This window comes from Homo sapiens, chromosome X (genome assembly GCF_000001405.40).
Source record: "Homo sapiens chromosome X, GRCh38.p14 Primary Assembly".
Taxonomy (NCBI): Eukaryota; Metazoa; Chordata; class Mammalia; order Primates; family Hominidae; genus Homo; species Homo sapiens.
In genome coordinates this window covers 13,003,985-13,016,166 of record NC_000023.11, presented here as the reverse complement: position 1 = coordinate 13,016,166, position 12,182 = coordinate 13,003,985, and the positions used below count along the sequence as shown (strand labels likewise).

General features: G+C 43.7%; 5 annotated features.

Moving 5' to 3' along the window:
* Positions 2,357 to 2,526: an enhancer, noted in NCBI's record as "active region_29429". NCBI's record gives its function as "activates an Ori minimal core promoter by ATAC-STARR-seq in GM12878 lymphoblastoid cells {active_cell/tissue: GM12878}" and the evidence as "EXISTENCE:reporter gene assay evidence [ECO:0000049][PMID:35858748]".
* Positions 2,637 to 2,716: an enhancer, noted in NCBI's record as "active region_29428". NCBI's record gives its function as "activates an Ori minimal core promoter by ATAC-STARR-seq in GM12878 lymphoblastoid cells {active_cell/tissue: GM12878}" and the evidence as "EXISTENCE:reporter gene assay evidence [ECO:0000049][PMID:35858748]".
* Positions 10,016 to 10,065: an enhancer, noted in NCBI's record as "active region_29427". NCBI's record gives its function as "activates an Ori minimal core promoter by ATAC-STARR-seq in GM12878 lymphoblastoid cells {active_cell/tissue: GM12878}" and the evidence as "EXISTENCE:reporter gene assay evidence [ECO:0000049][PMID:35858748]".
* Positions 11,399 to 11,458: an enhancer, noted in NCBI's record as "active region_29426". NCBI's record gives its function as "activates an Ori minimal core promoter by ATAC-STARR-seq in GM12878 lymphoblastoid cells {active_cell/tissue: GM12878}" and the evidence as "EXISTENCE:reporter gene assay evidence [ECO:0000049][PMID:35858748]".
* Positions 11,909 to 11,958: a silencer, noted in NCBI's record as "silent region_20664". NCBI's record gives its function as "represses an Ori minimal core promoter by ATAC-STARR-seq in GM12878 lymphoblastoid cells {active_cell/tissue: GM12878}" and the evidence as "EXISTENCE:reporter gene assay evidence [ECO:0000049][PMID:35858748]".

The following is a 12,182-nucleotide window of genomic DNA, read 5'->3' as shown; positions in this document are numbered from 1 at the left end:
AAAGCCTGCCCCAAACTCAGTAATTCACCAATCCTGAGATTAAGGGGAACAAAGTAGGTCTGTTCTCTTTTTCCCTTTTTTTTTTTTTTTTTTACTTCCTTGTGCACTGTGTCCCACCATGAGAAATAAGCATGTAGTTTCACTTCCAGTGTGGTCAACGGGCAGAATGCTAAGATCATGGCATTGAGAGAGACTCCAAGCCTGGGGAAAGAGCCTAGAATGCCACCCACTGTGATGAAAACAGCCAGCACTCACAATAGTGAGGGGCCATTCGATATGGGTGCACCTATCCACAGTGCCTTCAGTAGGAGGGAAACAATCTGCCTTTTATAGCCATTTAATCACTGAAGCAATGCAAAAGTCATTAGATATTTACTGAAGATTCTCACCAGTGTCAGACTTGAGATTTGAACTTGAGATACCTTTGAGAATACAAAGCTTACATTTGATCCCTGCCCTGGAATGCTTAGAATCTAATGGAGAGATAAGAAACCAAACCTGGAAGCTTAAGCAATGATGGAGAATGAATAGAGTAGCACAGATTTGCACTGCTAGAAGAGTAGAATCCCCAATATTTAGTATGGCACAATGGTAAGGAAATTGAAAACCTGGGATTTAGTCTATATTTCCTAAGTACAAAATGGAATAAGTTTGTAAAACCATGCAATGTTTCTGGTCCAGATTTTTTTTTTTTTTTTTTTTTTTGAGATGGAGTCTCACCCTGTCGCCCAGGCTAGAGTGCAATGGCACGATCTTGGCTCACTGCAACCTCTGCCTCCCGGGTTCAAGCTATTCTCCTGCCTCAGCCTCCAGAGTAGCTGGGATTACAGGTGTGCACCTCCACACCCAGCTAATTTTTGTATTTTTAGCAGAGACGGGGTTTCACCATGTTGGCTAGGCTGGTCTTGAACTCCTGACCTCGTGATTCACCCGCCTTGGCCTCCCAAAGTGCTGGGAGTACAGGCGTGAGCCACTGCGCCCAGCCCAAGATTTTTTAAAGTTATAACACAAGCAAGATATCTAAAGTCACTTAAAATAATTTTTTTTAAAAAAAACAAAAACCTTGTGAATGTGTGAGACTGAGGGGAAGAAGATAGGAAAGCCCTGGAGACCTGTGTGGCTGGTGCAGACACTTCCAGAAGGATTGTCATGGGAAACAAGGAAAGGAGAGAAGAAGGCAGGAAGAGAAGCTTCTTCAGTCAGGAGAACCCTGAATGCTGGGTGCAAATGATAGCATACATGCGGGTGGGCAGTGTTTCCTGGGCTTTCAAGCATTCCTTCCCTTTGATGACTCATCTGTTTCTGTACCTTCTATTCCTCAATCACGAATTTACATCCATTCTGTCTAATTAAAATAGCTAACATTGATGGAGCATTTTATAGTATCAGGCACTGTTCTGTGGGCTTCATATGTTGCCTTACTTAATTCTCACACCAAGAATATGGCATATGTATTACTACTCTCTCCGTTAAAGTTGAGAACACTGAAGCACAGAGATGTTAATTAACTTAGTCAAGGCCACACAGTTTGTTAATAGCCCAATCTGAATTTGAACTCACACGGTGTGATAAGGAAAGCCAACCTCTGTCTGCTAACCTGAAAGACCTTTTTGCCAAAAAAAATCTAGATTTTTGAGCATTTATCCAATGAGATATCCAAGAAGTCTCTTCAGTTTTTCACTGTATCTCACATGTGTGAACCTAGCCACAGTATGACTTATCTGCAGAAGGATAAGGGCAAGTTATCATGTCTCCTGTCAAGGTAAAAATGTTGTTTCACAATTCCCTGGCCGACCTTCCAGGCAAATTTGCTGCAAAAACAGTTTTTGTGGGGTTTGTAGCAAAATTATATGATAAGAAGGACACGAACCGAATTCCTTTTTTAAAGGACTATGCTGGTTTTTGTAGCCCCTGGCTGTGTAGTGACAACAAATGCATGCTAAGGGGCAGTCCCTGGTGAGTACTTATCTCTTTAACCTGTTTTAATCTCCAGACAAGTCAAGAGCCTACAGAGGGGTAAAGGACATGTGACATACTCAATAACATTATCTATGAAAAGATATTCCCACAATTTTTTTAAAAAAAGCTTTATTGTATTTACAGGGGCAAGCGTCCCATTCTTCTCCCTATGCCAATTTCACCGTGCAGTAGAGGTCATTAACTTGTGTAATATGGAGGAACCAAGAACGCTGCTTCCTCATTACAGCAGAAGAGACAGCAGCCCCCAGCTGTTATGAAACAGTGCTGAGCTTCACAACAGGAAGTACGATCCATGGCCAGTAAATAATGCTGCCTTCCCTTCCCTTTCAGTAAGCCTCGGAACTTCCTTATCCTTAGTTCCAAATCCTTTTACAGATGTTTACCTGGGAATTTGGATTTTTCTTCCCTTCTCTTAGCTCCTTTGAGGAGCCAGACAGTGTCATTGACCTCTCGCTTCATGTTAATAGTAAGCTAAGGGGAAAGCCACAATATGTCTGTTGTTCTCAGGAAAACCTTGAAAACACAAGGGAGAAAGCCCACTGTCTGACTATACCCATCTTTTTCTCTAAATATTTTGAGTTGGACTCTATCAACATCACTTTGCCCTTGAGTCAGAGTTTCTCTTTGAATGTACCTTGACACACCCTGTTCAAAACCAAACCAGGCAGCCTGAATCAGGCAACAGTATTTTGTATGTAAGTTTCTGCAAACATAGTCGGAGGTATAAGAAGAGCGCTGTAAATAGCTGCCTTAGTTCAGCAACTACAATCCATGCCAGATAAATGGGGGGAAAAATACTAATTCATCTGTGACTAATTCATCATGAGAAGAGGAGTAAAGGAGTTTCCAAAAAACTGTGCAGCTAATAACATATCATTCCTACATCCAAGAATGTGCCATTACTCCAGAATTTCTGTTGACAGGTGTGTCCGTTTTCTATTGCTGCTGTAACCAATGATCACAAACGAAGTGGCTTAAAACAACACACACATTTTTTAAACTTTTATTTTAGGTTCAGGGATACATGTGCAGGTTTGTCCTATAGATAAACTACATGTTGCAGGGGTTTGGTGTGCAGATTATTTTGTCACCCAGGTAATCAGCATAGTAGCCATAGGTAGTTTTTCAATCCTCACTCCCCCGCACCCTCCACTCTCGAATAGGCCCCAGTGTCTATTGTTCCCTTGTTTGTGTCCATGGCCACACGTTTCTTTTTGTTGTTTTTTTTTGAGACAGAGTTTCGCTCTTGTTGTCCAGGCTGGAGTGCAGTGGCGTGATCTCAGCTCACTGCAACCTCCAACTTCCGGGTTCAAGCAATTCTCCTGCCTCAGCCTCCCAAGTAGCTGGGACTACAGGGATGCGCCACCACGCCAGGCTAATTTTGCATTTTTAGTAGAGATGGGGTTTCACCATGTTGGTCAGGCTGGTCTTGAACTCCCGACCTCTGATGATCTGCCCACCTTGGCCTCCCACAGTGCTGAGATTACAGGCGTGAGCCACTGCGCCCAGCCCACACATGCTTTTTATCTTACAGTTTTGTAGATCGGAAGTCTGACATGAATCTTACTGGACTAAGAGCAAGGTGTCGGCGGGACTGCATTCCTGTCTGTAGGCTCTTGGTGAGAATCCATTTCCTCACCTTCTCCAGCTTCTAGAGGTTTCTACATTCCTTGGCTTAGGACTCCCTCCCTCTATCTTCAAAGCCAGCAGTGCCCGGCCAAGTCCTTCTCAGGCTGCCATCCCGCTGGTCCTCCCTTGCATAGTCCCATCTTCCTTTTTTGCTTTTAAGGACTCTTGTGATTACATTAAGTCCATCCCAAAACTTCAGGATAGTCACCCTATTTTAAAGTCATCTGCTTAGCAACCTTAATTCCATCTGCCACCTAAATTCCCCTTTCCCATGTGACGTACAGGACGTGGACCCTGTCCTGAATTGGAGAGTGATAATTCTCTCCACCACAATAGGCAAATAGCCACATATTTTTTCTAGTAGCATAAAGTTTGTTCTCTTCTTTACTGCAGGGAGACTCTCATATTTACTAGGAATTCAATTATAAGAAATAACTTTTTTATTATACATGAAGTAATATGAACAATAGCTGCCCTTTATTGAGTATTATTATACCAGGCAATGTATTCTGCATTCATTTGTTTTTCGAATTCTTACTGGAACCTTGCAAGATAGGCAGGGCAGGTGATAAGATTCTCATCTACAGATGGAAAATCTGAGGCTCAGAAAGATGAAGGCTCACTCAAGTTGTTATTATTATTATTATCATTATTTTTTGTAAAGACGAAGTCTCACTACATTACCCAGGCTGGTTTTGAACTCCTGGGCTCAAATGATCCTCTTGCCTCGGCCTCCCAAAGGGTTGGGGTTACAGGCACGAGCCACCGCGCCCGGCCTCAATTCAGCTATTGAAGTCACACTGGATTCCCGTCAGCCATGAAACTGACACTTTCTCCTGCCTTCTCAACCGCCAGCCCTCACCTGTGGGGAGCTACCCCCACGACTCTTGTCCTCTTCTTTTGCCTTTAAGTGAAACCCACCTGCCTTGTGAGCCCTTGAGCTAAACAGCTGGAATATGGACTCATAAGTCTGGGATTGCTGGGGAGTGTGGGCCCATTGAGAATTTTGTAGAAGACCACATTAGAAGAGCATGGATCCTACATCTTGGCCTTCTTTGCGTCGAGAAAGCAAATCTTTGTGGGGGAACTGAAGTTAAGCTTTGAGTATGGAAGATGGACCCTGAGGGTACATTTTTGGAACCTTACCTAGAAGCCTATAGGTCAACATTGTCATTTCTTCAGACATCAAGGGACACCCTGCTTTTAGAGAGCACTGCTTTGAGCTTTGTTTTCAGTCTTTATCCCCAGGTCACATCATGATCTTCTCCTAGGACAGAGCTGCGGCTGGTGTCAAACTGCTCCATTCCCCTGCACCTGTTTGGCTTGGGTGGGGGAAATGAGTCCTCGCTCTACAAGTCGAGCCTCTCCTAAGATGAGGGTCAGCACCCCTAGGGTGAGGGAAGAGCATAGATGATCGCCACCAACAAAATTAACAACTGGCAAATGATATGAATGATTTTCTACCTGGATGCTGGTATGATTCAAGTTTTTGGTATTTTCTTGTGCTTTCAACCTGGGAACAAAGGCCCTCTTTTTGTGAGTTCTTTGCTGTAAAATCAAATAGTTCAACTAGCTGCCACATAATGAAAGAAAGATCGCTGGGGTTTCTTCCTAATGAGCCCCAGTTGAAAAGCCCCCCCAACTAACATGCTCACACATTTTTCCCAGTATTAGAGTACTTCTCTTCATTGTTTTTAGAAACCAGGACATTTCCTAGTTCTAAGCGTCCACATCTTAAATAGTCAGCTCAGTACCCTGCAGTACTTTCCCTTTCCTATCAAAGTCAAATTGGGTGGAACTCTGTATCACCTTCCCAGATTTCCCTCTCCAGCTCACTTCCCTATCTAGGAACGCCCTTCTGATTCTCCTGGACTCATAGCAAATGTGGCCCCAGTGAGGCCCCAGGTGGAGAGAACTATGCCTGTCCTCCACAATCTTGGGGCACTGTTTGCAAACCACTCTGATTACATGCATCTTACAGTGTTATTTATGCATCAGCCTCTCCAAGTAGACAGCGAACTATGTCAGGACTTATTTATCCCTCCCACTTGGCTTAGCCAGGGCCCTGTACAGAACAGGTGCTCAGTTAGGTTGGTTAAAAGATCAGCTAGATTAGCTCAAGCAGAGATTTGTTAGAAAAGAGCATGTTACTCAATGCAATATGGTCCCCTGGATTGTCTCTTGGAATAGAAAAAGCACATTAAATAGCAAACTGGCAAAACTGAAATTAAGTCTGGAGTTTAGGTAATAGTATTGCACCTGTGTCAGTTTCTTAGTTTTGACAAATGTACGGTAGAAATGTAAGACGTTACCATTGGCAGAAGCTGGGTATATGGCAATTCTTTGTACTATCTTTGCAACTTTTCTGCAAATTTAAAATTATCCCAAAGTAAAATGTTTATTCAAACAAAAAAGGCTTGCTATTTTGCTTGAAAGAAATTGCAATGTTTTAAGATGAGTCGTACAATAAGAAAAATGAATTAAGCTTTTCTCTGCCCCTCCCTGCTCCTCCAATATCCTGGGGTTGACTCACTCCGGAGAGCTACAGAGTGGCCCCATCAGTGGGCATCCACTTGTATACTCCACGTCTGGAAGTGGGGGCCACTAAAAAGTACAAATGTTGCCGGCAGGGCGCGGTGGCTCACGCCTGAATCCCAGCACTTTGGGAGGCTGAGGCAGGCAGATCACGAGGTCAGGAGATGGAGACCACCCTGGCTAACACGGTGAAACCCTGTCTCTACTAAAAATACAAAAAAATTAGCCAGGCGTGGTGGCGGGTGCCTGTAGTCTCAGCTGCTGGGGAGGCTGAGGCAGGAGAATGGCGTGAACCCGGGAGGCGGAGCTTGCAGTGAGCCGAGAATGTGCTACTGGACTCCAGCCTAGGCGACAGAGTGAGACACCGTCTCAAAAAAAAAGAAAAAAAAAAGTACAAATGTCTTAGCCATTCAAAGTGGCAGCAAGAAGGGCCACTTGAATTAAAAGTGAAAAGGATTTTTTTTTCTTTGTTTTCCTGGAATCTCCCTTGCTGTTTGCCAAGCCAAGATCATGGCCTCATACAGAAACCCTGGGCCAGCCAGTGACAGCTGGGTTGCCCCAGGCAGTCCTCCAAACCCTCGACTCTGCTGAGACACACACAGGTTGCCCAGCAGCTCTTGGGTCATAGGAGCCTTATCCTTGAGACACTACAGTAAGCTCTGAGACTTGTTGAAGAAGAGGGCATTTGCCTTCCCTATTCCCATCTCCAAGATGGGAATTATTATCGAGCTAGAGCTGATATTGGCTGAGGGAATTAGTCTTTCTTTCCCTCAGATGGTTTATGGCTTATCTGGGTGGTGGGAAATCTTTCTAGTAACTGATGAGAGTGTTCCACCTCTGCTTGCCACCTCTCTAGTTCAACTTCGAACAAAAGAGACCAGCAACAATTCCCAGTGTGATGTACAACCTTCTGGGCCATTGGTTGGTAATCCAGAACATTCCATTTGCCTTTGCTGAGCGCATTTAGGAAGATCACAACTGTTATAAGGTGACTAACCATTTTCACCGATGGCAACAAGTCTTGACTGGAGGAGGAATATTTTGGCAAATGCCTAGAAATCTAAAGTCAGATATCTACCTCCCATTCACCATCCCATCCTCACATCTTCCACCTGGTCCTACTGAATACAAACCAAATGGTCTAAAGTCTTCAGTTGTAAAGAAGCCCTACATAGCTGTGGAACCCTAGGCCCACTGGAACTGGTTTTCCCTCCAGAAGAGTAATGGGAACTGTTATAGCCTTTTCCACTTTAGAGATACGGTTTTATTTTTTTCTTATTGTCACTGTTACCATTTTCCTCTGAGAAGAAACTGAGTTTGCAAAAAGATTTGAGGAGCCCAATTCTCCTAAGCTCAGTCAGATCACAGTGCGGGGGCCTTGCCTTTACCTCCTGAGCTATCTTCTGAGTCCCCAGGAGATACATTCACGTGGCGCAGTCTCAGTCAAAGTTGTTGACACCAAGAAGTTCTGGCAAACTGGTAAGTATGTGCAAATGTAAACAGCAAGAGAAGGGAGGTTTTCCCTGGAGCATCTCTGCTGTCTACGAACTGGCTCTGCAATCTGCCCCCACTCATTCACAACCCTCCTTCCTTGAAGATGGCTCAAGCAGAGGCTTTAAACAGTGGACAGTGACAGCCCCTTATAGAGGAAAAGCCCCTGCATGCCACATGCTATTTGCTATTTTTATTTCACAGCCAAGGATGAAACCTTTCATTTGCAGACACAGACCGAGTCACCCCTGTGGCCAAGATTAATATGCAAACATCTCAGTTTGCAGTCTGGTGGGGAAGGAGAAGCTTCCTCAATTACTTATGCAGCAGTAACCCTTGTCCACTTCTCACCTCCCAGAGTTTCAGGCACAGGTACCCCTTTTCTCTTGCATATGTCATGTAGTCTCAACTGTGTCTTCAATCTAGGAACTTTACCCAGCCCTGGCAAGCTGTACTAAACCCTAGTCTGAGACATCTGGCTTTTGCCCAGATAATTACATGCCTAACATTGTAATTCAGGTTTGGCACTGCTATTTCATAATGTTTTCTTTTTCTAAGCTGGAGCCTTCCAAGGGAGGAGAGTAGGACAATGGAGAAATGAAGACAGAAAAATGCAAGCATTAACCCTGAGGTTTCTTTCTCAGTTGCATTCAGCAAACTAGCAGAGGTACCTAGACTTTCAATACCCAAAATGTGGTCTGTGAACTGGCAACCCCAGGATCACCTGGGAGCTTATTAGAGTCTCAGGTCCCACCTAGACCTCTTGAATCAGAATCCGCACTTTAACAAGATTCCCAGGTGACTCATGTACATATTAAAGTTGGAGATGCATCCTGAATTTGTCACATCAGTGTGAAAGGTGCTGAGCACAGGGCAGATGCTCATGAACTGACCACACAGTGGGGAGTCAACTCTAGGTGAATTCCATGCCACCCCTTTCTAAATGTTAGTGACTATTACTGCTGCCACAAGCTGATATGCGAATGGTGTTGGACAATTCATTTTGTACTCATAAGAAAATCAGTATCAATTGATTGCAAGGGGAAAAAATGCTAGACTTCAAATTCCTACTGCAGCAACCCATTTCCAAGTGCGGGTGTCGAGATGGGAGAAAAGAGGGCTTGTCTTGGGTCAGGAGAGCTGGGTTTCATTCCCAGTGGGTGCCTAGCCAGCTGGGAGACCCTGGGCAGTCATGTCTTCCTTTAGTGCCTCAGTTTCTTCATCTGCACAGAGGGAGAATGGAAACTAGACTTAATGGTATTTACAATCATGACCTACAACATAGCATGGACCCTCCACCCTCCCATTTCTTCTCTAATCCTTTTATCCTATTTCACTTTTCTCTAAAATGCTTAGCAATACACTTGCCACATTATATATTTATTTGTTTTTTTGCACTAAAATGCAAGCTTCATGAGCCACTGCATCCAGCCTGATAATGTTTTTAAATTTGCTGTATGCATCACATCCCCTTTCCTTGTTTATCATTCTCTGAGAAACAAATGTTCTCCAGGGGTTCCGTATTTTAAAAGGAAACTAATTTTTCCTCATCCCTCAAAAAATTCGAGGAAAGCTGGGAGAAGGCATTCATAGGCAGATAAGTAACAACTTATTTCCAAAAACTAGATGCAAAGGCTGCAGGCCTACAAAATGTTGTCTTTTATAGACTCCTCACTTTTATAAGATGCAAAAAAAAAAAAAATCAGAGGAATAGCTTGTAACAAATGGTTACAACTATGGAAATACAGGAATGGCCAAAAAAAGGCAAAATTCCACTATAATAGTGTCATGTGCTTTTCCTCATTGGTTCCTCCTATTTAAACCCTTAGCATGTCTCTCCATCTTCTCTTACCCTCTCAAGCTACATTTCAGATGGCCCCAACTCCCTGATTTGTTTTCACATATCATTTAAGGGCTAGCAGGGCAAAACCTTCTGAAAAGTCATGCAGATGATCATTTGCCTGGCACGCTTTTTTTTAAGTCAGGACTCAAATGAATTGAAAAGTTGCAAACATATTATTTGCAGGCAATGTGCTCAGACCCCCTTGCCTCGATAGTGGGCTGCATGAAGCAGTGGTGGTGCACCATCATCCACCATTTCTGGTGCCAAGTTTTGTCTCGTGTCCAGCTGAAATGTTAGTCATCTTATAGAGCTGCTTGGAAGATGCTATTACATGTAAGTCCCAGCAGTTTTTTCCTCTCAGTACTAGCTTTTTGTGAACGTCATGAGACTGGGAGAAAATCTCTCTGCCAACAAGTGCTCAGTAAAAACCTCCATCCCAGAAATTACCCTGATATATGCAAGTGTGGCAGCGTGAGAGGCAAGTGGGTTGGCAAAGGGCCACGTGGATTCACATGCCACTACCTTCTATTTCCCTTTGTTCAGCTGTGCTGTTCGCACAGGGTGGTGGGTTCTCTCTCTCTTTTTCTTTTTTCTCCTTACTCTTAGCTTTTCTTTCTCTCTCTTTCTTTCTTTTCTTTCTTTCTTTCTTTCTTTCTCTCTCTCTCTCTCTCTCCCTCTTTCTTTCTTTCTTTTTTTTGGCAGTTGAGCTTTGAGCAGTGATGCGTTTTGTTTCAAAAGAGAATCACCAACAGAAAGGGATTGCTCATTGCTCATCTAACTTCAGGGCTCTCTTCTTGTAGAATGCTTCTGCCCACTCACTGTTTCATATGAGAAAGCATTTAAATTCAAAACTCACAAAGTCAGAACTGAAAGTATGTGGGTTTCAGTTCTCCTTATCCGTTTTCCCTTCTTTAAAAACTAAGGAGCCCTATTTGGAGATGTGCGTGCCTGCCAGGAATGAGGTGTGGGGCTCTAGGGTGCTGCGCTGGAACCCATGATGACATGGTTGGCCTATTCATCATAGACCTTTAGAAATGGAAAGAACCAGAAAAGGGCCTGGAAAGAACCTAATTCAATTATTAGGAAGAACCGAATTCATTACTTTTAATGGCAAAAACTGCAATTACTTTTGCCCCAATTTAATACATCATTTTACAAATGAGAAAATCAAAGCCAGAGAGAATGACCTGTCCAAAGTCACATGGCTAATTAGACCCTGTATCACATGTAGACCCTTGTATCTTGGCTGCATTTGGGTGTAGTTGCCAATGTATGTTTGAACTTGGATCTACAACTCCTCAGCAAAGTCAGAGAATCATGCAATTAAAAAAAAAAATGGAGCTAACAGCAAGTCCCAGCATCTCCCCTTAGTTTTGAAGAAGGCAGCATAAACCAGGATCTAGACCCAAAGCAGAGGTCTTGGTAGTTTTTACATGAAGAAACTCATGTGATTCCCAACCAATTCTATGCAACCACAGTTAAAGTGATTTATCTTCAACATCTGGCAACCTAAAGAACTGAAGTAGAGATGACGTTGGGAAGCTGAGTTCCAGGAACATTTTTGTCATGGAGGTAAGGTTCCTGGGTCATCATGAATTAGATGAAAAAGCTCCTTATAACTGGCCACAAAGAAGGCATCAATGACTTTACTAGGTGAAAATGTGGACTAGTGTTTGGATTTTCAAAACAAGCTGATATCAGCCACATGTAAGACCAAAGCAATAGTCACAAAGAAATCCAAAGGACAGCCTCTGGGCTGAGAATTAATAGATCCTTTTCAACAATTTTTACGATAACTTGTTGACAAGATGATTGTATAGACTATGATGAAAAGACATGAGAAAAAACAATTTGCAAGTAAGACTGAAGTACAGGTGGAAAAGGTGGTTAATGGGGTCATCTTTTTGCCCCTGGCCCTTCTAGCAGCCAATGGGTCAGGGCTGGACCCTTTATCCATCCAATCAAGAGGCCATAATGTTCCTCTCTGGAGCAGCAGAGAACTGAAAGATGCTACCAAAGTGTGAAAAGAGAAAGCAAAGCAAACTTCAAAGGACAAAGTCTGCAAAGATTGAAACTGTCAGTCTATGAATATGTGGCCCGATTCTTACTAGATGGACGTCAGAGGCCCTTCACTTTATACTAAAATATATTTAAAATATTGCAGCTGGGCGTGATAGCTCATGCCTGTAATCCCAGCACTTTGGGAGGCCGAGGTCGGTGGATCACGAGGTCAGGGGTTCAAGACCAGCCTGACCAACATGGTGAAACCCTGTCTCTACTAAAAATACAAAAATTAGCTGGGCGTGGTGGCGGGCGCCTGCAATCCCAGCTACTCAGGAGGCTGAGGCAGGAGAATTGCTTGAACTTGGGAGGCGGAGTTTGCAGTGAGCTGAGATCGCGCCACTGCACTCCAGCCTGGGTGACAGAGCGAGACTCCGTCGCAAAAAAAAAAAAAAAAAAAAAAAAAAAATTATTGCAACAGCCTGCGGCTGGGCGTGGTGGCTCAAGCCTGTAATCCCAGCACTTTGGGAGGCTGAGTCGGGTGGATCACAAGGTCAGGAGTTCAAGACCAGCCTGGCCAGCATGGTGAAACCCCGTCTCTACTAAAAATACAAAAACTTAGTCGGGCATAGTGGCACATACCTGTAGTCCCAGCTACTCGGGAGGCTGAGGCAGGAGAATTGCTTGAACCCAGCAGGCAGAG